This window comes from Homo sapiens, chromosome 12, assembly GCF_000001405.40.
Source record: "Homo sapiens chromosome 12, GRCh38.p14 Primary Assembly".
In the NCBI taxonomy this organism is placed as follows: Eukaryota; Metazoa; Chordata; class Mammalia; order Primates; family Hominidae; genus Homo; species Homo sapiens.
This window is the reverse complement of record NC_000012.12, coordinates 55,780,432-55,803,587: the sequence shown is the minus strand read 5'-3', so window position 1 is coordinate 55,803,587 and position 23,156 is coordinate 55,780,432. Positions and strand designations below refer to the sequence as shown.

Below are 23,156 nucleotides of genomic sequence, written 5' to 3'. Positions count from 1 at the left end.
TTTCAGGCTTTGACACTGAAAAGATTTCTTTTTTTTTTTTCAGGTCATTAGCAATGTAAGCTCTTAATTAACGGCATCAAGAAAACTCTCTCTTTTTTTTTTTTGAGATGGAGTCTTGCTCTGTTGCCCAGGCTGGAGTGCAGTGACGCAGTTTCAGCTCATTGCAACCTCTGTCTCCCGGCTTCAACCAATTCTCCTGTCTCAGCCTCCCAAGCAGCTGGGACTACAGGCGAGCACCACCATGCCTGGCTGATTTTTGTATTTTTAGTAGAGACGGGGTTTCACCATATTGGTTGGGCTGGTCTAGAATTCCTGACCTCAGGTGAGCCACCCGCCTCAGCCTCCCAAAGTGCTGGGATTACAGTTGTGAGCCACCGCGCCCAGCCATCTTGTACAACCTACATCTTAGGTTGTACAAGTCCTCTATCTAATTTTTATTTACGTATTCCCTTTTATTTCTATTCCTCATTTCACTTTCTCCCCAACCCATTTAGGCACCCGTTCTAATGTGTTTGAATGTATTTTTTTGGTGTTTTTCCTGGTAAACTATGTAGTGTTGTTTTGTAGAATGTTTTCATTTATATAATTGGTAATTACATAACTGGCCATAGCCTTGCTTTATTTCTCATTTTTTTCACTAAGTATTGTGTTTTTTTTTTTTTAAAGATGCGTCCATGTGGAATGTGACTGTGTAGTTATCTAGTCTGTTGATTCTAATTCCTGCATAGCATTCAATGATGGATAACCACACATTTTACTTAATTCACTCGGTGACAGAAAATTTTATTGCCACCAAGCCTCTGCTACTATAAGTGATACTACTTATAGTATACTATATGTATATAATAGTATATAGTATATATTATACTATGGGTTGAGTGTTATATATTTGAAATGCTTGGGACTAGAAGTGTTTCAGATTTTAGTTTTTTCGGATTTTGGAATATTTGTGTATATATATAATGAGATATCTTGGGGGTGAGATCCAAGCCTAAACACAAAATTTATTTGTTTCTTATCCACATATCTGAAAGTAGTTTTATACAGTATTTAAAATAATTTTGTACATGAAACAAAGTTTTGACTGTGACCCATTGCATGAGGTTAGGTGTGGGGTTTTCCACTTGTATCATATCAGCCTTCAGAAAGTTTTAGATTTAGGAGCATTTTAGGTTTTGAATTTTCAGATTGGTGATGCTTAACCTGTAGGATATAGTATACTATATCCTATATACTAATAGTATATAGTATATTATTATGAACTACTTATTTTATGCTCTTATGTTCCTGTGAAAGTCTTTTTGGGGTATATGCCCAAGAATGGTATTGCTAATTAATATTCATAAATATATACTTAATGTGACTAAGGACTCCCAAATTATTTTCCAGAATTGCTCTGTAGATCTGCAGTCTCATTACTAGTACATAAGGGTTCTTGTATCTTCACAAACCTAAACTTGGCACTGTCCTATCAAGTGGCCTAAGTTTTGCTAATTTGTTGGCTGTTTTATGTTCTCCATGAAAAAAGTTTAAACATTTCACAATTCTTTGGGTTTCTTCTTTGCCCATTTTTCTGTTGAGGTTCCCATAATTTGCCTGTTGGCTTGCAGGCATTTCTTTTATATTCTAATAACTATTGTTTTGTTGATTTTAGGCACAAATATCTTCTTTGGCTGTGCGGGGTGGTTCATGCCTGTAACTCAGCACTTTGGGAGGCTAAGGTGGTATGATCTCTTGAGGCCCGGAGTTTGAGACCAGTCTGGGCAGCATAGTGAGATCCCATCTCTAAGAAAAATAATAAAATTAGCTGGGTGTGGTGATGTGCACCTGTAGTCCTACCTACTTGGGAGGCTAAGGCAGGAGGATCCCTTGAGCCCAGGAGGGGGAGGCTGCAGGGAGCTGTGATTGTGCCATTGCACTTTATCTGGGCGACAGAGTAAGACTCTGTCTCAACAAAAACAAATGTCTTGTCATTTGTCTTTTAAGTTTCTTTGTGCTATCCTTAAGTAGAAGTACTTAGTTTTGAAAAATCTTCAATTTTTCACCTCTTACTTTTGGTTCTGGGTTGTTTTTCTTTTAAACAAATCTTTCCCCACCACTAAATCTCAAAGATACTTTTCCACATACTTTTTTTGTTTGTTATTCAAGACTGGGTCTTGCTCTGTCACCCAGGCTGGAGTGCAGTGACATGATCTCAGCTCACTGCAGCCTCTGCCTTCTGGGTTCAAGTAATGTTCCCACTTCAGCCTCCCCAGTAGCTAAGACTATAGGCGCACACCCCCACACCCAGCTAATTTTTTTATGTTTTTTGTAAAGACGGGGTTTCGCTGTGTTCCCCAAGCTGGTCGCTTGAACTCCTAGGTTCAAACGATCCACCTGCCTCTGCCTCCCAGATTGCTGGGATTACAGAGAGCCACGGTGCCTGGCCCAACATTACTTTTAAAATTAATTCTCTAGTTTGACTTCACATTTAGTTCTTCAGTCCAACTGGAGTTCACATTTGTAATTAATGTTAGGTAGAAATCTGGTTTTATCTTCTCCAGATGTAGCAGATTTTATGTGCATCAGTTTCTGCCTTCACTGTTGGATTTTTTGGGGGAAAGCAAAGTGATTATAATTTTAACCTTGGTAAGTGATCAAGATGGTTTTGTAGCAGGGCTTGACCTGAATATTTTAATATTCTTTAGCTGAAGAGGAGGCAAATGAAGAAGATGTACTGGGAGATGAAACAGAGGTGAGTTGGATAGAGTAAGGTTAGTCTCTGGTAATGTGCCACTGCTTTGGCCACATTGCTTTAACATCAGTCATTGGAGGACTTAGATGTAAATTTATTAGGGGAGCATAAGATGGGTATGAAGGTTCTGAGAGACTGGTTTATTTTGGAGTTCTGATGTTCTTCTTTTGATAGATATTTATTCTTTAGATTTATGTTAACCACCTTGTTTCATTTGGTTTTAGGAAGAAGAAACAAAGCCCATTGAGCTCCCTGTCAAAGAGGAAGAACCCCCTGAAAAAACTGTTGATGTGTAATTATCCCTTTTTTATAATCTGAGTACAGAGCAGGCAGCTCTTTTCTTAATGTATTTAATGTTTAACTTTGTTTACCTCTTACATGTTCCCATTGGCCTTTTCCTTTCTGATTAGGTCATTTTTTTGTTTTTTAGAAGGGACTACTTCAAAGTACTTGGTCCCAGTGAAGTAAAGCAAATTGTCTCTGAGTTATGTAATAGGTAATGAGGACCAGGTGACTTCAAGACCAGACATAGTTTAATTCTCCTAGCCTTTGTTGTTCTTTTGTAGGGTCACCATAATAGATTATTCTGTTACTCTATAGAGAATCTGTACAATTCTGTATGCAGTGTAAAACTGTGTAAACTCTGTTAACTTTTTTTTTTTTGAGACAGGATCTCACTCTGTTGCCCAGACTGGAGTGCAGTGGCGTGATCTTGGCTCACCGTAACTTCTGCTTCCCAGGCTCAAGCAATTCTCCTGCCTCAGCCTCCCGAGTAGCTGGGATTATAGGTGTGTGCCACTACTGCCCGACTGATTTTTGTATTTTTAGTAGAGACAGGGTTTTACCATGTTGGCCAGGCTGGTTTTGAACTCCTGACCTCAAATGATCCGTCTGCCTTGGCGTCCCAAAGTGCTGGGATTACAGGTGTGAGCCACCGTGCCCGGCCCATTCTGTTAACTGTTCATAAGAGTTTTGCACTTTTCTGGAAAAGTGTAAAACTGAGGCCAGGCACGGTGGCACACACTTGTAATCCCAGCACTTTGGGAGGCCGAGGTGGGTGGATTACGAGGTCAGGAGTTCAAGACCAGCCTGGCCAAGATGGTGAAACCCTGTCTCTTCTAAAAATACAAAAATTAGTTGGGCGTGGTGGAGGGCACCTGTAATTCCAGCTACTTGGGAGGCTGAGGCAGGAGAATTGCTTGAACCTGGGAGGTGGAGGTTGCAGTGAGCCGAGACTGTGGCACTGCACTCCAGCCTGGGAGCCACAGCTGTCTCGGGAAAAAAAAAAAAAAAAGTGTGACACTCTATATAAAGGAGTTTTGTAAGGGAGGAGGGTGTTGGGTAGAGGTTATGTTTCTGAAGTAGCACTCTGTTCTCTCTTGCTTTCTGATTTACAGTGGAGGATGGGAGGACAAAGTGCTAGAATGGAAAGTAGATCTTGATTTGTTTAAACTGTTCCACAAGGGTGATCCTAAACATCTTTAATTTGGGGCTTTTTCCACAAATGTCTGGCCATTTTGTACTATAGTACATTAAGAGCCGTTGAGTCCTAAACTTTGAACATTTTTGTTCCTCATAGTTGTGTTAGTGCATTTAATTATAAAAGGCAGTGTATTTACAAGTAAAAAGTCAGTACATAGTGGAGTATATCAATTAAGAATTAAGTACTCTTTGTATCCATTCTCAGATCTGACTTTACTGAGGTTTTTAGAACAGTACATACTTTTGGAAGATTTTATATATGGGGTCTGTACATGTGTATATGTATGTATGTGTATATATAGATACACGTATACACACACTGTGCACACTTGATTTTTTTTCACATCTGGAAATTTTTTATATCATCATTTTCTTATGTAAGTGTTAGTTATATGCTAGGCATTGTTCTTAAGAGTTATATGCTAGGCATTGTTCTGAATGTTTTACATGTACTGTCATTTTATCCTCAGTAGACCCTGTAAAGTCAGGATAATTATCCTAGGAAGTGGTCTCTTTTTGTTTAGCTTATTATGGGAAATTACAAGTATATACAAAAGTTCGACTAGTGTAATAGACTCTCATCTACCTATCACCCAGATTTACTAGTTATCAACTTAGAACCTTGTTCTTTCTAGCATTTAATAGTATTGCATTCTATGGATAAACAGTAATTTATTTCACCAGTCTTCTGTTGATGGACATTTAGATTATTCATTAAAAAAAAATGTAGTTCTGCATGTCCTTTTCTAATTATTTATACTCACAAGTATACCCACAGGGTAAATTCCTAGCAGTGGATTTGCTGCATCACAGAGGATGTACATTTAACATCTTGATAGATTTTTGTCAAATATCCCTTTATTTATTTATTTTTGAGACAGGGACTCACTCCGTTGTCCAGGCTGGAGTGCAGTGGCACAATCTTGGCTCACTGCAACCTCCGTTTCCCGGCTCAAGCAGTCCTCCAGCTTCAGCCTCCTGAGTAGCTGGAACTACAGGCACGAGCCACTACACCCAGCTCTTTTTTTGTATTTTTTGTAGAGATGGGGTTTCGCCGTGTTTGCCAGGCTGGTCTCAAACTCTTGAGCTCAAAGCGATCCACCTGCCTTGGCCTCCCAAAGTGCTGGGATTACAGGTGTGAGCCAGTAATCACCTGCCTATCAAATACTACTTTCCAGCCTATCAAATACTACTTTCTAAAGCCATTTAGTTATCTTTCCATCATAAGATGTTTATAATTAGATATAGTGCCTTGAAAAAATGACTTTGTGAGATAGCTTTAAAATAGAAATGTTATGGGGATTTCTGGAACAAGAAAGAAGATCAAGTGAATACCATGATAATTGGCTTCTGTGGGTTAAAAAATAGAGGTTCGAAAGTTTGAAGTTCATTATTCATAGAATATTTAAAATGTGCATTCTGTTCAGGGGGCTTTAATTCTATTAATGAATTTTGAAACAAGGAAATTGAAGTGGGTGGGGTGATCGTTTTTGATTTTTAGAGGATAGTTGTGGTTAGACTGAAGTATGTACAAAAAGATTCTGGGTCTCTGTATTTCAGGGAATGTTGTTTATGTGATTGGGTAGGAGAGAAATTTCTCAGTGAAGAGTGGAAATTTCCCATGCATCCCAGAATTCGATGTTTATTTATTGCGCTTGAGTTTAGTTGCCTAAGGGAATTGTAATAGAATGGAAGGAAACTTCCCGTCTGGGGTTCCCTTTCTGCCATGATGTGCACTGCATTGACTGTGCTTCAGAATGGTAATGGGGAGGAAGTCATTACACTGGGGTTGATGGAGAGTACTACTTTCTTGATGGCATTGGATTTCAAGTAAAACATTAAACTTTAGCCTTTTGTGCCTAAATTATAAGACAAGGTTAGGGAAGGATGGCAAGGAAATGGGAAGCGTTTAGAAATTTCTTTAAACGTCAGAATAGCCAGGGCTAGTTTAGATTCCTTGACTATTTAAAAGGAGATCCCCTTCTTCATGTTTGGCCTGAAGTTCTCCAAAAATATACCTGTTTCTAGTTTGATTCCCAACCCCCAACCAGCTAAAGCGGTTACATATCGTAGGACTTCGTTATAGTCAGCAGGGGGCACCCATTGCTTGTCTTCAGTCCAGGGATTTCCAATAAAAGGGTGGAAGAGAGTAAGTTCTTATTCCAGAATTGCTTCCTCTGAAAATGTCATTAAACCATTACTACCTTTCAGGGCATCAAATGGGAAAAGTGTTCAGGATATTGGAACAAAAGCTGCCCATGTCTCTAAATGAGGGACCTTAATGAGACTGGTTATGACCCACAGTTTTATGGGAGTTGTTTGGTGGAGGGTTAATGCCCTTCCATTTATCGTGGGTACTTCCGAACTTTGTCTCCCGCCCCTGTGGTCCCCCCTCTTTTGTTTCCTCTTAAACCTTTGACCACTAGCTTACCATGTTTTCCTAATTCAAACTCCCCTTAGACTTTTTTCTTCCTACCTTCTTTGGCATTTTTATTTGTTTCACTTTGACTGTTCCAGCTAGAGCTACATTCCCCATGGGAGAAATAAGGGATTTTTAAAAGAAGGAAACCAGACCTTGTAGAGTACTTATTAATTGTTGTGATGAACATTGGGAGGTGGTACTTAAAGGAGGATTGGAGGGTTACTCATTAGTTCAAAAGTAAATTAAAGGCTGGGCTCGGTGGCTGATGCCTGTAATCCCAGTACTTTGGGAGGCCGAGGTGGGTGGATCACTTGAGGCCAGGAGTTCGTGACTAGCCTGGCCAACATGGTGAAACCCTATCTCTACTAAAAATACAAAAATTAGCTCGGCGTGGTGGCAGGTGCCTGTAATTCCAGCTACTCAGGAGGTTGAGGCAGGAGAATCTCTTGAACCCAGGAGGTGGAGGTTGCAGTGAGCTGAGATCGTGCCATTGCACTCCAGCCTGGGCGACAAGAGCAAAACTCCGTCTCAGAAAAATAAAAGTAAATTGAAAAGTTCCTAAAAGCAAATGAGATGGTTTCTGGTGTCCTTTGAGTGTTTCCCTTCAGCCCAGTATATTTAACCAGACTTCTTTCCTTATTTCTTTATTATACTTTAGCTAAAGAAGCTTAGTTTGTTATTTGAACTCTTTCCTCTCAATAGATGACAGTTAAAGGAACCAAAGCTCTAGTGGACTTCATGTTTCTTTGGCTTAGGGGGTGGCAGAGAGATAATAGGGCAGAGAATGGTGACTCAGGTGAATTCTTACACATTTCTGAGGTTGTGGTTTAGAATATCAGTTTTCTCATTTTAAAAAATCTCTTTCTTTTCTAGGGCAGCAGAGAAGAAAGTGGTGAAAATTACATCTGAAATACCACAGACTGAGGTAGGTATTCTGCTCCCTAGTAGAACAGTCTCTACATTTCTCTCTCCCTCTTACCCTTTATTATATCTGCATCATCCTCTAAAATTTATTCACAGGCAGAAAATCAGTATTGGCAGATTTTGGTGTTGATACGTTTCACTGCCAGCTACTCTTTGGAAAATATTTGGCTGGCGTAGGGGTAGTCATTCTTGAAGTTGTAGTCTTTTTATATGTAATATTATGGTCTTAACAGTGACTCTCTTTGAGATGTTTTCAAACCTAGGATTAGATTTAGGAGGATTGTACCTTGAAAATGTATTGGTAGATGTGACTCTTATGTTGCTACTGGCCAGTAGCTGAGATTGAAATTTCTCTGGTTTCTGTGGTGCAGGACTGTGAAACCAGGTTCCATTTGAGATCTTGTGTTCAGTATCATACTTGCAAAGTAGAGAATTATTAAACTCTTTTAGAATGGCATAAAACAATGCTGCCTCATTTCTAACTGAAAGAATACCATTGGTGTTGGAACCAAGCTATTCCTTTGATCACTTTTCAAAGGTCAGCCAAACATAGCTTTTGACTTCTTGGCTTCATGCATAATGTAGGTTTTACTTTATTTCTCCCTTTTGTTTTTGAGGGCATCTAGTAATAGTCTTTTTTTGTTTGCTTTGTGGGAAGGGCCGTTAAGTCCTAGCATGGACACAACCTGATATCTTCTAGGATTGTCAGTATTTTCAGTTTAGACCCTAAGAAATTACTTCTGATGTTTTTAAGATACCTACCTTTGGCTGGGCCAGGTGGCTCACGCTTGTAATCCCAGCAGTTTAGGAGGCTGAGGTGGGCAGTTCACTTGAGGCCAGGAGTTCAATATCAGCCTGGCCATCATGGTGAAATCTCATTTCTACTAAAAGCACAAAAATTAGCTGGGCACAGTGGCACAGTCCTGTAATCCCAGCTACTCAGGAGGCTGAGCCACGAGAATCGCTCGAACCCAGGAGGCTGAGGTTGCAGTGAGCCGAGATCATGCCACTGCACTCCAGGCTGGGGGACAGAGTGAGACTCTTTTTTTTTTTTTTTTTTTTTTTTTTAAAGATACCTACCTCTGACTGACTTTCTTAAACCATAAATTGACTTTTTTTTCTCCCTTTTGTCTATTTTTACTTAGAGAATGCAGAAGAGGGCTGAACGATTCAATGTACCTGTGAGCTTGGAGAGTAAGAAAGCTGCTCGGGCAGCTAGGTGAGTGTCCCCAGCCTTTTGGGCCTCTGATAGGGGTGTTGTAAAGATGAAGATGTGTGATCCTAGCTTTTAGGTATAATTGTTGATTTTAAGTAGAATAGAGGCTTGCTGAAGGATATGAACACTTTTTTGACCCTATTCAGAACATGTCTACTGATTTGGTTATAGTAGCTATAAATTGAGCTTTATTGAGAAGGGTTTTTGTAACAGTTAAAGCCAGGAACTGACTACTACTAATTCTGATAAGGCTTCCTTTTAGCTTAATTTCTGAACCTCTTTCATGGGGTTGTTAGAATTAGCTAATGATTGCAAGGCTTGAGATCACAAGCAAGAAGTGTCATATGTATACTTGACACGGAGACAGACAAACCAGGAGTGTGAACAGCTTCCTAAAATTTAGTTTGTTTTTCCTTCTTCAGGTTTGGGATTTCTTCAGTTCCAACAAAAGGTAAGAGTACAGAGATACTTCTGAGAAAGTTACCTTTTTATTCTTTCTTTTCTGGTATAACAGGTTTTATTTCTCCAAAATAAGGTAAATTTGCTAGCTGTAGAAACTCTTTAAGAGATTGTAACATTCATCTCCTGCTTTAGGTAAAATTATACTTAGGCCTTCCTGGGCAATTAAGAGAGATACTGAATGTTATGAGAGGATAGGAAGTGCCAACATTTGTCTGTCTTTTCTTGAACATCTTCAAAGAAGTTTCTCTAGTACTTTGCTTACTTATTCTGGGGTCTCAACTGCATAAAATTATTGCATACTATCTAGTGTTATACTGGCTATTATAAGTGATAAAAGGGAAAAGAATATCTTCTACCTTAACAGTTTTACTTCTAGGAACGTATAAGGAAATAGTCTTGAATGTGCATAAAGACTTAGCCTCAGGGATTATCACAGCATTATTTATAGTGATCAATAACTGGAAACAACCAACTGTACAACAGAGAATTAGTTATTAAATGTGTGCCATGGTATAGCAGACTACTGTGCTGAAATAATATTGAAAGATATTTATCAGAGATATTAATGAAAAAAGTTACAAAATTATATTAACAGTACGTTCCCATTTTAGTCATGTAAGAGTGCATGTATAGATAGGAAAAAAGCTTGGAAGGATACATAGTAGACACTTCAGCAAGGTTTGAACTGCACAGGTCCACTTATACTTGGATTTTTTTTTTTTTCAATAAATACAGTTTGCTGTCTGTATCTGAGGGTTCACCATAACCAAATGCGGTTCAGAAATACAGTATTCTTGGGATGTGAAACCTGCAGATATGGAGGAGCAGCTTATATCTGCTGCAGGACTTGAGTGTGGTGGATTTTGGTATCAGCTGGAGGGGTGGGTTTGGATCCAATCCCCTGAGGAAATGGAGGGACGACTGTATTCTAAATTGTTAATACTCTTATCTCTGGTTGGTGGAATTTTGAATGATTTATTTCTTTTTGCTTGTCTGTGTTATTAAAATCCATACAATGAATATGTATCACTTTTGTAATGAATTAGAGGAAATTATTACTATTTTTTGAGACACAGTCTTGCTCTGTCACCCATGCTGGAGTGCAGGGACGTGATCTGGTTCACTGCAACCTCTGCCTCCCAGGTTCAAGCTATTTTCCTGCCTCAGCCTCCTGAGTAGCTGGGACCACAGGTGCGTGACACCATACCCAGCTAATTTTTGTATTATTAGTAGAGACAGGTTTCACTGTGTTGGCCAGGCTGGTCTTGAACTCCTAACCTCAAGTGATCCACTCACCTCTGCCTCCCAAAATGGTGGGATTACAGGTGTGCCGAGCCTGAAACAGTTATTATTTTTAAGAAACGGCTGGGTATGGTGGCTCATGCCTGTAATCCCAGCACTTTGGGATGCCAAGCCGGGAGGATCAGTTGAACCCAGGAGTTGGAAACTAGCTTGGGAAACAAAGTGACACCTTGTTTCTACAAAAAATTAAAAAATTAACTAGACATGGTGGCAGGTGTTTGTAGTCCCAGCTACTTGGGGCGCTGGGGTGGGAGTATCTCTTAAGCCTGGGAGGTCAAGGCTGGCAGTGAGTGTGATCTTGCCATGACACTCTAGCCTGGGTGACAGAGCAAGATCCTGTCTCAGAATTTAAAAAAAGGACAGGCTGGGCACGGTGGTTCACACCTGTAGTCCCAGCACTTTGGGAGGCCAAGGCAGGTGGATTGCTTAAGGTCAGGAGTTTGAGACCAGCCTGGCCAACATGGCGAAACCCTTCTCTACTAAAAATACAAAAAAAAAAAAAAAAAAAAAGCTGGGTGTGGTGTTGCGCGCCTGTAATTCCAGCTATTTGGGAGGCTGAGGCAGGAGAAGTGCTTGAACGTGGGAAGCGGAGCTTGCAGTGAGCAGAGATTGCTCCACTGTACTCCAGCCTGGGGGACAGAATGAGACTCTTTTCTCAAAAAAACAAAAAGAACATAGCCCCTTTTCTCAGGAACTTAAAACTTAAATGTAGTCTTCCAATTCAATCCAGTTTTCCCTGTGACTCGTCAGTAGTTTTAAGTAAGAAAATGTCCCCCAGAGATCTTCTTGTAGTGTTTTGCTGTGCTTTTAAAAAGACAGAAAAATTCTGGCCGCTATCACTAAGTGTTTTAGAAAAAAAAAATTTTTTTTCTGGCTCTTAGTTGCATCAAGAGAGATATAATTGGTGAAGATACAACAGAAATTATAGAACGTGGTGCTTTTTTATTTTTTTTAAGAGACAGGGTTTCACTATATTGCCCAGGCTGGACTTGAGCTCCTGGGCTCAAGCAATCCTCCCTCAGCCTCCTGAGTAACTGGGACTACAGGTGCAAGGCTAAAATGCTATTTGAAGAAAGATAATAGTTAAAATTAATAGTCTGAAAAGGGAACCTGATAAAAAATACAGTTTCAGTGTTACTCATAATTCTGACATCTTAGAACTATAGAGTAACTCTAAAAAATAACGGAATTTGGGAACATTTAAAAGCAAGCACTGTTTTTTTGAATGAAATCCTGAAAAGTTTGAAGTAAATAATTATTGGCTAGTTTCTTGGTGATAATTTCAGGACAGAAAATTGGCCTTAAGGAGCCATAATTTCTTTTTTTCTCTTTTTTTCTTTTTTTCTTTTTTGAGATGGAGTCTTGCTCTGTCGCCCAGGCTGGAGCACAGTGGCGCCATCTCAGCTCACTGCAGCCTCTGCCTTCTGGGTTCAAGCAATTCTCCTGTCTCAGCCTCCCGAGTAGCTGGGACTACAGGTGTACGCCACCACGCCTGGCTGATTTTTGTATTTGTAGTAGAGATGGGATTTCACCATATTGGTCAGGCTGGTCTACAAGTCCTGACCTCAGGTGATCCACCCGCCTTGGCCTCCAAAAGTGCTGGGATTACAGGCGTAAGCCACTGCACCCGGCCAGGAGCCATAATTTCAACTCATGATAGTAGTTCTTGTTTGTCCAGATGTGATCTCTTTTTTAATAGCTTTACTGAGATGCAATTTATATAACATACAGTTCATCCATTTAAAGATATATAATTCATTATTTCATAGTATATTCACAGAGTTGTGCAGCCATCATCACCGTGCTTATCACCCCAAAAAGAAAGTCTGTGCCCATTAGTAGATATCCTCCATTACCTCTCCCTGCCCAGCCCTAAGCAGCCACTGAGGTTTTTTTCTCCATGGAAATTTGCCTTCATATAAATGAATTCGTATAGTGCGTATAGTGTATTGTCTTTTGTGACTGGATTCTTTCACTTAGCATAGTTTTCAAGGTTCATTAATGTTGTAGCATGTATCTCTATTCATTTTTATTGTTTAATAATATTCCATTGTATGGATATACCATACTTAATTTAGCCAGTCATCAGTTGATGGGTGTTTTTCTTTAACTTTTTGTCTAATATGAATAATGCTGCTGTGAACATTTATGTACAAATTTTTGTGTAATTATATGTTTTCATTTTCTCTTAGCTGTATAGCTAGCAGTGGAATTGTGGGATCATATGTAACTGTATTTATCTTTTGAGGAACTGCCAAATTGTTTTCCAAAGCAGCTATACCATTTTATGTTCCTGCTAGCAGTGAATGCAGACATGATCGCTACATGCAATTTCTGCCTTTTCTTTGTCATCATAGGATAAAGGATGTTTTTATGTTGCCTAATTTGACTTGAAGACTGTTGGCTTTGATGACTTTTAAAAATATTAAATAAAACTTTATTTACTTCCTTAGGTCTGTCATCTGATAACAAACCTATGGTAAGAAATCTTTTTTTATTTCTTACACACCCAGATCTTAATTCTATATAGCTAACTTTAGAGACTCCTCCTCCCCAGATTAGAGGAAACTCTGAGAACATTAATTTGTTGACTCTTTTCAGTACAATGTTGTATGTCTTGAATTTAAAAAATTGTTGGAGATACTGAGAGGTCAGGAAAATTGTCACATGTTCAATTACTGCAGACGTCTTCCTTCCTACCACTCTTTTTGAAAGTAAGAATGGATTTTGTTAGCCATGTATGTAACTGTTTTATGGTACTGGAGGCCTTGTCCAGTGGCCTTAGATAATGTCTAATTCATAATTACCACAAGAGAATCTATGGAAGCAATTTAGGAGTTCTGTTTGTAGATAGTGCTTTTTTTTTTTTTTTTAAAATACTATCCGTGAAATGTGAAATCAGAGTAAAGAATGGTAGAATAAAATGGCTTTCTGGACCATTGTGACTAGTCAGCATATTTAAAAAATGGTAACGAATGCTGTGGTGAAATAGAATCAGCTTTATGAAATCCTGCTTTAGGGGTTGCTGTTTAATATTGTAAGTGAAGGTTTAATATTATTAATGAAAATTTCCTAAATATTCTTTTTTTTTTTTTTTTTTTTGAGACGGAGTTTCATTCTTTTGCCCAGGCTGGAGTGCAGTGGTGCGATCTCAGCTTACTGCAACCTCCGCCTCCCGGGTTCAAGGAATTCTCCTGCCTCAGCCTCCCAAGTAGCTGGGATTACAGGTGCCCGCCACCATGCCCGGCTAATTTTTGTATTTTTAGTAGAGACGGGGTTTCACCATGTTGGCCAGGCTGGTCTTGAACTCCTGACCTCAGGTGATCCACCTGCCTCGGCCTCCCAAACTTCTAGGATTACAGGCGTGAGCCACCGCGCCTGGCCCTAAATAATTCTTAACAATAGTAGCAAGTCCATGTACCAAGGTTTCCAAGAAAGAGGAGGGAAGAGAATCGAGTTGGGTAGTAGTTATAGGTTGTCTTCTGAAAAAGGTGCTTCCGTGATAGTTTCTCTTTGTTTGGAGATAGAGTTAAGAAATACTTGCAGAGACCACATGAGAATTAATGATTTTGGATTGTGAATGGTAGACTTGTTTGGAGGTGATGATTTAGACATGTGTTTGCTTTCCCTGGCAGTGTTTGGCTTCCCTTGATCTTAAGCCCTCCTTAGGCTCTTGACACCTGTGATAAATGCAGGAGGCAGGGCTGAATCTTTCACTGCATTCCAGAGGAGGCCATAATCAGTGGACTGGATGGTTGCTGCTTAGTTTTCTTATTTTGCTCATAGGGTGTCTTTGATGTTATAGGCTTATTTGAACTCTTAGCTTCATACTATAGTTTCTGCATTTTTTGTTTTCCGTTTTGATTTTTTAAAACTATGTTCTTTCCCCTATGTTTTTATAGGTTAACTTGGATAAGCTGAAGGAAAGAGCTCAAAGATTTGGTTTGAATGTCTCTTCAATCTCCAGAAAGGTAATGTAGGCTCGATGGAAGTAATGTTTTTGTGACATTAGAGCAGCTTATGGGAACTACATAGGCTGGAAATGACCCTCCTGAGAATGTAGCTGGCTACAAAGCATTTCATTTCACATACTTGATTGACTGTCACCTCCTCTCACTGACTCTTGATTATGTTACAGGAATTATTTCACAAGCTGATTGTTTTTTCCCGTGGATTGTTTTCATAGCTTTCACCCAGGCTGCTAGAGCGTGGTCTACATTTCTTTTCTTTCTTTCTTTTTTTTCCTTTGAGACAAGGTCATTCTGTTGCCCAGGCTGGAGTGCAGTGGTGCGATCACGGCTCACTGCAGGCTTGACCTCCCTGGGCTCAGGTGATCCTCCCACCTCAGCCTTTCTCGTAGCTAAAACTACAGGCACGTGCCACCATGCCCAGCTAATTTTTTTCAATTTTTGGTAGAGACGGGATTTTGCTATGTTACCCAAGCTGGTCTCAAACTCCTGGGCCTAAGGGATCCACCCACTTCTGCCTCCCAGAGTGCTGGGATTACAGGCGTGAGCCACTGCACCCAGCCTGAGTATGGTCTATATTTCTGTTGGTTAAGATGTTAAATTCAGTGATGTTAAAACTTATTACATCTACTTTAACTTTGATAATAGGCATAATGGGAATTAAATAATCAGGAGAAGACAGTCTTGTCTTTAGGTCAGAAGTACTTAGAAATAAAACTTGGAGGATTGGTGGAACAAAAAAAAAAAGTTAATTCATTCTTTATGCCCCTCAGCTAACTGATATTATTTAGTTTATTAAGCAAGATGACTTTGTTTACTTCATGCTATGTGGGGTGATTGGTTCCCCAGGGCATAGTTGCCTTTGTAGTTTTGCTAGGCACATTGGAGAAAATGATAAGGATTTTTCTATTTGCCTAGAGCAGGTGGTCTCTTAATCTTTGTTGTTTAGAACAAGAACATGTTTCTTGGTTGTCAAAGTGGTGGCAGGGTATTTGAAACCAGAAAAACCAGCATTTAAGAAAAAAATCGGGCCAGGCGTGGTGGCTCACGCCTGTAATCCCAGCACTTTGGGAGGCGGAGATGTGCGGATCACGAGGTCAGGAGATTGAGACCATCCTGGCTAACACGGTGAAACCCCGTCTCTACTAAAAATACAAAAAAATTAGCTGGGTGTGGTGGCGGGTGCCTGTAGTCTCAGCTACTCAGGAGGCTGAGGCAGGAGAATGGCATGAACCTGGGAGGGGGAGCTTGCAGTGAGCTGAGATTGCACCACTGCACTCCAGCCTGGGCGACAGAGCGAGACTCCGTCTCAAGAAAAAAAAAAAAAAGAAAGAAAGAAAAAAATCAGTCGAGCACCACCGTGCCTGTAATCCCAGCACTTTGGGAGGCTGAGGTGGGCAGATCACCTGAGGTCAGGAGTTGAGACCAGCCCAGCCAACATGGTGAAACCCTGTCTCTACTAAAACTACAAAAATTAGCTGGGCATGGTGGTACATGCCTGTAATCCCAGCTACTTGGGGGGCTGAGGTGGGAGAATCACTTGAACCCGGAAGGCAGAGGTTGTAGTGAGCCGAGATCGTGCTACTATACTCCAGCCTGGGCAACAGAGTGAGACTCTGTCTCAAAAAAAGAAAAACATCAGTATTTCCAACTCAGCATGAAAGCGTTTAGCTCTCTAGAAAGCCATTGGAAGAAACTTACCTGACATTGGTTATATATTTTGCTTGGGAAAAAAACTAAACACTAAAAGTAATCATTATTGTGCCACTATGGAACACTTGTGCACAACTTTGTTCCATCTTTCTTCCATTTACGTTAACTTTTTTTTTTTTTTTTAGTCTTTTTTGAGACAAGTTCTCACTCTGACACCCAGGCTGCAGAGCAGTAGCATGATCACAGCTCATTGCAGCCTCCATTTCCCAGGCTCAAGCAAGCCTCCCACCTCAGCCTCCTGAGTAGGTGGGACCACAGATGTGTGCCACCATGCCTGGCCAGTTTTTGAATTTTTTTTTTTAGAGATGAGGTCTCTCTGTGTTGCCCAGCTGGTCTCAAACTCCTGGCCTCAAGCCATCCTCCTGCCTCAGCCTCCCAAAGTGCCGGACTATAGGTGTGAGCCACTGCGCCTGGCCTGGGTTATCATTTTTTATATTAACTAGAAATACAGCATCAGGTCCATGTGCCTAGCATGATGCTGAGACCATTGGTGCTCAGTGGGAATACTTGCTCATTTTTGTGAAGTAAGAAAAAATTTGAAGTTGAGAGGCAGAGTATGTGATTCTTAAGCCACATGCACTTTAATTGGGAAGGGCTGTTACAAACCAAAGGTCACGACTGGGCACGGTGGCTCACTCCTGTAATCCCAGCACTTTGGGAGGCTGAGGCGGGTGGATCACGAGGTCAGGAGTTCAAGACCAGCCTGGCCAAGATGGTGAAACCCCATCTCTTCTAAAAATACAAAAAATTAGCCAGGCGCGGTGGCAGGTGCCTGTAATCCCAGCTACTTGGGAGGCTGAGGCAGGAGAATCGCTTGAACTCGGAGGGCGGAGGCTGCGGTGAGCCGAGATTGCGCCACCGTACTCCAGCCTGGGTAACAGAGTGAGACTCCATCTCAAACAAACAAACAAACAAACAAACAAACAAACCAAAGCTCACTTGTGTTGTGCCATATGGCCAAGGGGAAGGGTGCCTTGGTTCTGCGGCCCTAGTTCTCATCTGTCTTCTCTTTTATATGAGGGCTAGATATGTGAGAACCCCAGCAGTAAAAATTCACTCCATCTTCTAAGGAATTGTCTGTGTTCCTTCAGAATTTACAAAATTGAACACCATATCTCTTACTACATAGCTCATAGCTCCTACTACACATTGCTGAAAAGAATTTGTCCATCAATGCTATACTGTATACCTGTGTTATTTTTATAGTATTTCATTACAGGAATATCAGGTCTTTCTCTTCCCTTCCCTAGACTTTTTCTCTTTGTTTGACCTTTTTTCATTTTTAGTCCACAGAAGGCTGAGTAAAACAGATACATATGTTAACTTTGTGACTTTGAGCAAATTACTGAACTTCTTTGATCCTCATCTGTAAGACTTAGAGCAATAACTAGCAACCTGGTTGGGAAGAGTAAATAATTGGATACAGGGCCAGGTGCAGTGGCTCATGCCTGAAATCCCATTATTTTGGGAGGCTGAGGTGGGAGGACTAATTGAGCCCAGGAGTTTGAGGCTGCAGTGAGCCATGATAGTGACACTGCACTCCAGCCTGGGTGACAGAGTGAGACCCTGTCTTTTTTTTTTTTTTGTCTGAGACAGGGTTTTGTTCTGTCACCCAGGCTGGAGTGCAATGGTGCGATCTCAGCTTATTACAACCTCTGCCTCCTGGGTTCAAGTGATTTTTCCCACCTCACCCTCCTGAGTAGCTAAGAATATGGGAGTGCGCCACCATGCCCAGCTAATTTTGCATTTTTAGTAGAGATGGATTTTCTTCATGTTGTTCAACTTTGGCCTCAAGTGATCACTCACTTTGGCCTCCCAAAGTGCTGGGATTACAGGCGTGAGCCACCGCACATGGCCTAGACTCTGTCTTAAAAAAAAAAAAATTGTATACAGTATTCGAAATTACCTAACAGTGATACTTTGACCCTCAATAAATGTTAGTTTTCTTCCTTTTTTCTTAGTTCAGTTCTGTTGGTAAATTGGCTTTATGGCCTTAAAACTGAGTCAATTAACTTGACTCAATTTTAGTTTTAGTTGATCATTGATAAGATTTCAGCGCCCATTTTAAGTCTCTGGAGGGTTGTAATACAATAATGGTAATTGGCAGAACTCTGGCTGTGAGCTTCCTTCTCTAATAACATTGATTGTCAATACGTATAGCATATTTTTTTATTTGCATATGTGCTAGAGTAGTGCATCTGAAATTATCTGTGGCAAAAAACTAGTTTAAAAATTTTTTTGATTATTACAGGGATACTTCTATAAAATACAATTAAAATGTTACAACAGCATTAAATTATTCTGAAAGTTTCTTAACATTTTCAATTTCTGGACCTTTACACACTGGTAAGAAACAGTTTGGAGACTAGCACCAGGAGGAAGACTATATTTTAAGTAACACTTTACTAGAATATGTATGGTTTCCAGGGACTACTTCACTTGAAGATTTGTGACCTTTTGAGATGTGCTCTGTGAGTATAGATCCCATTTACATTGGTTATAAGTCTTGATTTTCAGAACTATCCTAATTTAAACATTTTGGTCTGTTTTGTCCCATAAACCATCACAGTGTCCCAGAAATGCTGATGTTTTGCTGTCTACACCAGCACTGTCCAGTAAAACTTATTTTACAAAGCCATTTGTGGCTAGTGGCTACCATATCGGACAACTCATATCTAGCTTATATCTCCCACACAGCTTTCATACTTGTGAGTGGCGTAGAAATTATTTATCAGACCACATACTTGGACCATTGTTAATCTGTAGCTGAGAATTTTTTTAAATAATTGTAGAAAATATAAGCAGTTTCAGAATAAATCTATGAAAGGAGAGAAGTTGGAGGAAAAGGAGTAAGACATAAGAAAAGTAAGGATTCTTTTTTTCTAGAACTTAGCGTTCTAGTTCCACATCCTGGAATTGCAGCTGGGTACATTGTCTGATGAGAATTGCCTAGTTCTTGTGCTTAACTATTTATCACTAGAATGAGTTGCTACGTAGCGTTTGGTTGGTTGGCAGAGGTTAGTGACTTGGTTAAGTTTGTGTTTACGGAACTGCCAGATGAGCATACTTTTGTCCACTTCATCCTGGGATTCTGGGTTCCAGTGTAGCCTTCTATATAATTTGGTCGCTTGTCTTTAGGTTGTTTAATTCTCTAGGCACAGATTTTATTCAGTTAGATGTGGTGAAAATAGTGGAGGTTAGCAGGTAGTGTAGCCTCTTCTCTATCCTAGTATTCTAAACAAGACAATGAAAAACCCACTTTTTGTCATCTCTGTTGTCTGCTTGATCCAACTTACGACCCTGCGTGCTTGCTGATTTCTCTTTAGTGGACTTGGCTACTGATCAGTGTAGTATATGAATAAAGGGAGGAAGTATATGAGAGCAAATGAGCCATGGATTGAATAATGTTTATGATTGATTTCTTTTTTTCTTTTTTTTAGAGATAGGATCTCATGTGTGGCCCAGGCTGGTCTCCAATTCCTGGGCTCAAGTGATCCTCCTGCCTCAACCTCCCAAAGTGCTGGGATTACAGGTGTTAGCCACTGTGCGCAGCCTAATTTTTTTTTAATTGTCACAATCTGCTCATCTCCTCTTCATATTTTAGATTTATGGCTTCAGCATATTACAGATTTAAGAACCTGAGTCTGCTATTTTTCCTAGGCTGACTTTTGCATGACTATTTATATATTTCAGTTTTTAGCTCCACTAGTATGCTATACACATATCAGGCACTACACAGAAATGTAAAGAAATCTCTCTCCCACCTCCTCCCACCTCCCCCCAGCCTCCCCTAAATCATCATGTCCTTTTCCCTCTGCCCAAGAAAAGTCTGTTTGTTCATGTTTCCAGCTTAAGTCTCAGTGAACAGAATCTTATTGGTTTAGGCTAATGGAAGGTGACAAGGCAAAGAATGGCATGGGCATTTACAGAAATTTTTTACACAAGAGGCTGTAAATTGTCCCCTTCAATTCTTTGGACTGTTTGAGGATAGAGTGGCATGACTTTTCTCATAAGTCGCATGGTGACTATGGACTAATAAACCTCCCACCCACCCCCCTCAAACAACAAAACTCAGATAAATAACATCTACCTGGTTTGCTCTGATTGATTGCCAGCTAGGTTTTCTGTCTTGTGCTTGACTGGTTGTTTTTTCTCTATCTGTTTCCCATGCCTCCCAAGAGGAGTAGTGTTTGGGTCAGTGCCGTTGGTGAAGGACAGAACTTAGCACATAGGAAACCATTTTTATTATTTTTTTAAGACAGGGTCTAACTCTGTCACCCAGGCTGGAGTACAGTGGCGCAATGATAGCTCACTGCAGCCTCAGCCTCCAGGGTCAAGTGATCCTCCCACCTCAGCCTCCTGAGTAGCTAGGACTACAGGCGTGCGCCACCACACCCAGCTAATTTTAGTATTTTTTGTAGAGATGGGGTTTCACCATGTTGCCCAGGCTGGTCTTGAACTCCTGGACTCAAGCAGTCCGCCAGCCTCAGCCTCCCAAAGTGCTGAGATTACGGCCATGAGCCATTGCGGCTGGAAACTCATCTTGGAAAGGAGTTTGAAGCCTGGGCAACATAGTGAGACCCTGTCTTCTATAAAATGTAAAAACAAATTAGCCAGGTGCAGTGTGGCACATGCCTGTGGTCCCAGCTACTTAGGAGACTGAGGTGGGAGGATTGCTTGAGCCTAGGAACTCGAGACTGCAGTGAGCCATGTTCATACCACTGCACACCAGCCTGAGTGATGGAGTGAGACCCCATCTCCCTAAAAAATTTTAAAAAAGAAAGAAAAGAGTGGGAGATGGATAGAGGGAATAAAGCCAGCTCAGTTAATCTATTTGTAGTCAGAGGATATTAGTTTTGGTAAAAACTAAGTCTGGGCTTAGTACTGTAGTATTAACTGCTGTGCTAATTTGAGTGGATTGTTTGGTATTTTTCAAACATTGGCACCCTCGGAAAGGAGAAACTTCATACTTTAGGACATTATAGGAAATCCATCTACATGGGTATTTAAAAAACAAAGCAAGTCTAATCCCAGGCACTAAGCAGAAAACTGGAATGTGGTTGATACTCTTCTCCTTCCCCAGGAATGTGAGGGCAGTATATGTTACTGATTCTTGATTACTAGTAGAAGGTACAAGCATTTTATATCCTTATTGACCTTAGTACATCTTCCTTTTTTATCTATTAGAATAGTACCAGAGTTTTTCTACTTCCAGCCCTTCATATAGGTAACTGTCCTAAAGAGTTGTCTTAAGTCCAGTAAACCTTGAAGGATACTTTTCCCAGGTTTATGATTTTTGCCACTCTTCTTTCCTGATGGTTATGATCTGTGTTAACACAGTGTCACAATATAAAAAGTTTAGACTGGGCACAGAGGTTCACACCTGTAATCCTAGCTCCAGTACTTTAGGAGTTTGATCCCAGGAGTTCGAGACCATCCTGGGCAACATAATAAGACCCTATCTCTACAAAAAATAAGAACAGCCAGGCATGGTAGTGAGTGCCGGTAGTCCCAGCTCCTTGAAAGGCCGAGGGGAAGGCATTGCTTGAGTCCAGGAGGTCAAGGCTGCAGTAAGCCATGATGGCATCACTGCATTTCAGCCTGGGAAACAGAGCAAGACCCTATCTGAACAACAACAAAAAAGAATATAAAAAGGTTGAAAATAAACTAGAATATTCTTGGATAGCTGCAGTGATCATTTTCATGAGACTTTTGTATTACATTTTTTATCACCGTTGGTAGGAGATGAACCACTTCACAGTGAGTGAGATATTGGACCTGCCTTGTTATTTTTTGTCTGTTTGTTTTTGTTTTTGTTTTTTTTTTTTTTTGAGACGGAGTTTCGCTCTTTTGCCCAGGCTGAAGTGGAGCAGCGCAATCTCAGCTCACTGCAACCTCTGCCTTCCGGTTTTAAGCAATTCTCCTGCCTTGACCTCCCAAGTAGCTGGGATTGCAGTCACCCGCCACAACGCCTGGCTAATTTTTGTATTTTTAGTAGAGATGGGGTTTCGCCATGTTGACCAGGCTGGTCTCGAACTCCTGACTTTGTGATCTGCCTGCCTTGGCCTCCCAAAGGGACCTGCCTTGTTTTTGAGGAGCTTGTCACTTAACTATGTTGAGGTACCAAAGAGGAAGCTGAGACAAAGTCAATTCAAAGTACAGATAGCCACCAGTCTTCTAGCATACAGATTTCATTGTAGCTAACTGATGGCATGCTGTTTTCTCAATTCATTCTCTTCTGGAGGGCCTATTGTATTCTGTCTTCTATTCTCCCACCATCTGAAATAAGTGAAGAAATATTTGTTTGTTCCTTCACTTCAGTGATAGGTTTTGGTGTAGAGGTTAGCCATTGGGATGTGGAAAGATGAAAGAAGTTCATACAGCAGTCCTCCCTTATCTGTGGTTGTGCTTTCCGTTGTTTCAGTTACCCTCAGTCAACCACAGTCCTAAAATATTAAATGGGAAATTCCAGAAACAAACAGTTTATAAGTTTTAAATTGCACACTGTTCTGAGTAGCATGATAAAATCTTGCCCTGTTCTGCTCGGGTATGTGAATCATCCCCTTGTCCAGCATATCCCTACTACTTCCCCATTAGAGCAATGCTTGTGTTGAAGTAACTGTTATTTTACTTAATATTGGCCCTAATGCACAAGAGTAGTGATGCTGGCATATTGTTATAATTTTTTTTTTTTGAGACAGAGTTTTGCACTTGTTGCCCAGGGTGGAGTGCAATGGCGTGATCTCGGATCACTGCAACCTCTGCTTCCCGGGTTCAAGTGATTCTCCTGCTTCAGCTTCCCAAGTAGCTGGGATTACAGGCATGTGCCACTATGCCCAGCTAATCTTTCTTTCTTTTCTTTTCTTTTCTTTTCTCTTCTCTTCTCTTCTCTTTTCTTTCTTTTTCATTTTTTGAGACAGAGTTGCTCTGTTG

The 23,156-nt window shown here is 40.5% G+C and overlaps 1 protein-coding gene across 3 annotated transcripts in view, besides 1 other annotated feature; it reads left to right on the top strand.

Annotated features, from left to right (window-relative positions):
• Positions 1-23,156, top strand: part of SARNP (SAP domain containing ribonucleoprotein) — a 65,262-nt gene that overhangs the window by 14,137 nt on the left and 27,969 nt on the right. For 2 of the 3 annotated variants that reach the window (NR_026723.2, NM_033082.4), the window contains exons 3-9: positions 2,688-2,734; positions 2,959-3,026; positions 7,512-7,563; positions 8,708-8,781; positions 9,201-9,229; positions 12,996-13,021; positions 14,445-14,513. Coding sequence is in view for 1 of the 3 variants with exons in the window: in NM_033082.4 (NP_149073.1) it covers positions 2,688-2,734; positions 2,959-3,026; positions 7,512-7,563; positions 8,708-8,781; positions 9,201-9,229; positions 12,996-13,021; positions 14,445-14,513 (365 nt within the window). In the remaining 2 variants the exon portion in view is untranslated. The remainder of the gene's footprint in view (positions 1-2,687; positions 2,735-2,958; positions 3,027-7,511; positions 7,564-8,707; positions 8,782-9,200; positions 9,230-12,995; positions 13,022-14,444; positions 14,514-23,156) is intronic. The other variant, NR_026722.2, reaches the window with a different exon arrangement.
• Positions 4,868-5,369: an enhancer, noted in NCBI's record as "OCT4-NANOG hESC enhancer chr12:56192003-56192504 (GRCh37/hg19 assembly coordinates)". NCBI's record gives its function as "activates a minimal SCP1, AML or CMV promoter by ChIP-STARR-seq in naive and primed H9 embryonic stem cells {active_cell/tissue: H9 hESC(naive and primed)}" and the evidence as "EXISTENCE:reporter gene assay evidence [ECO:0000049][PMID:30033119]".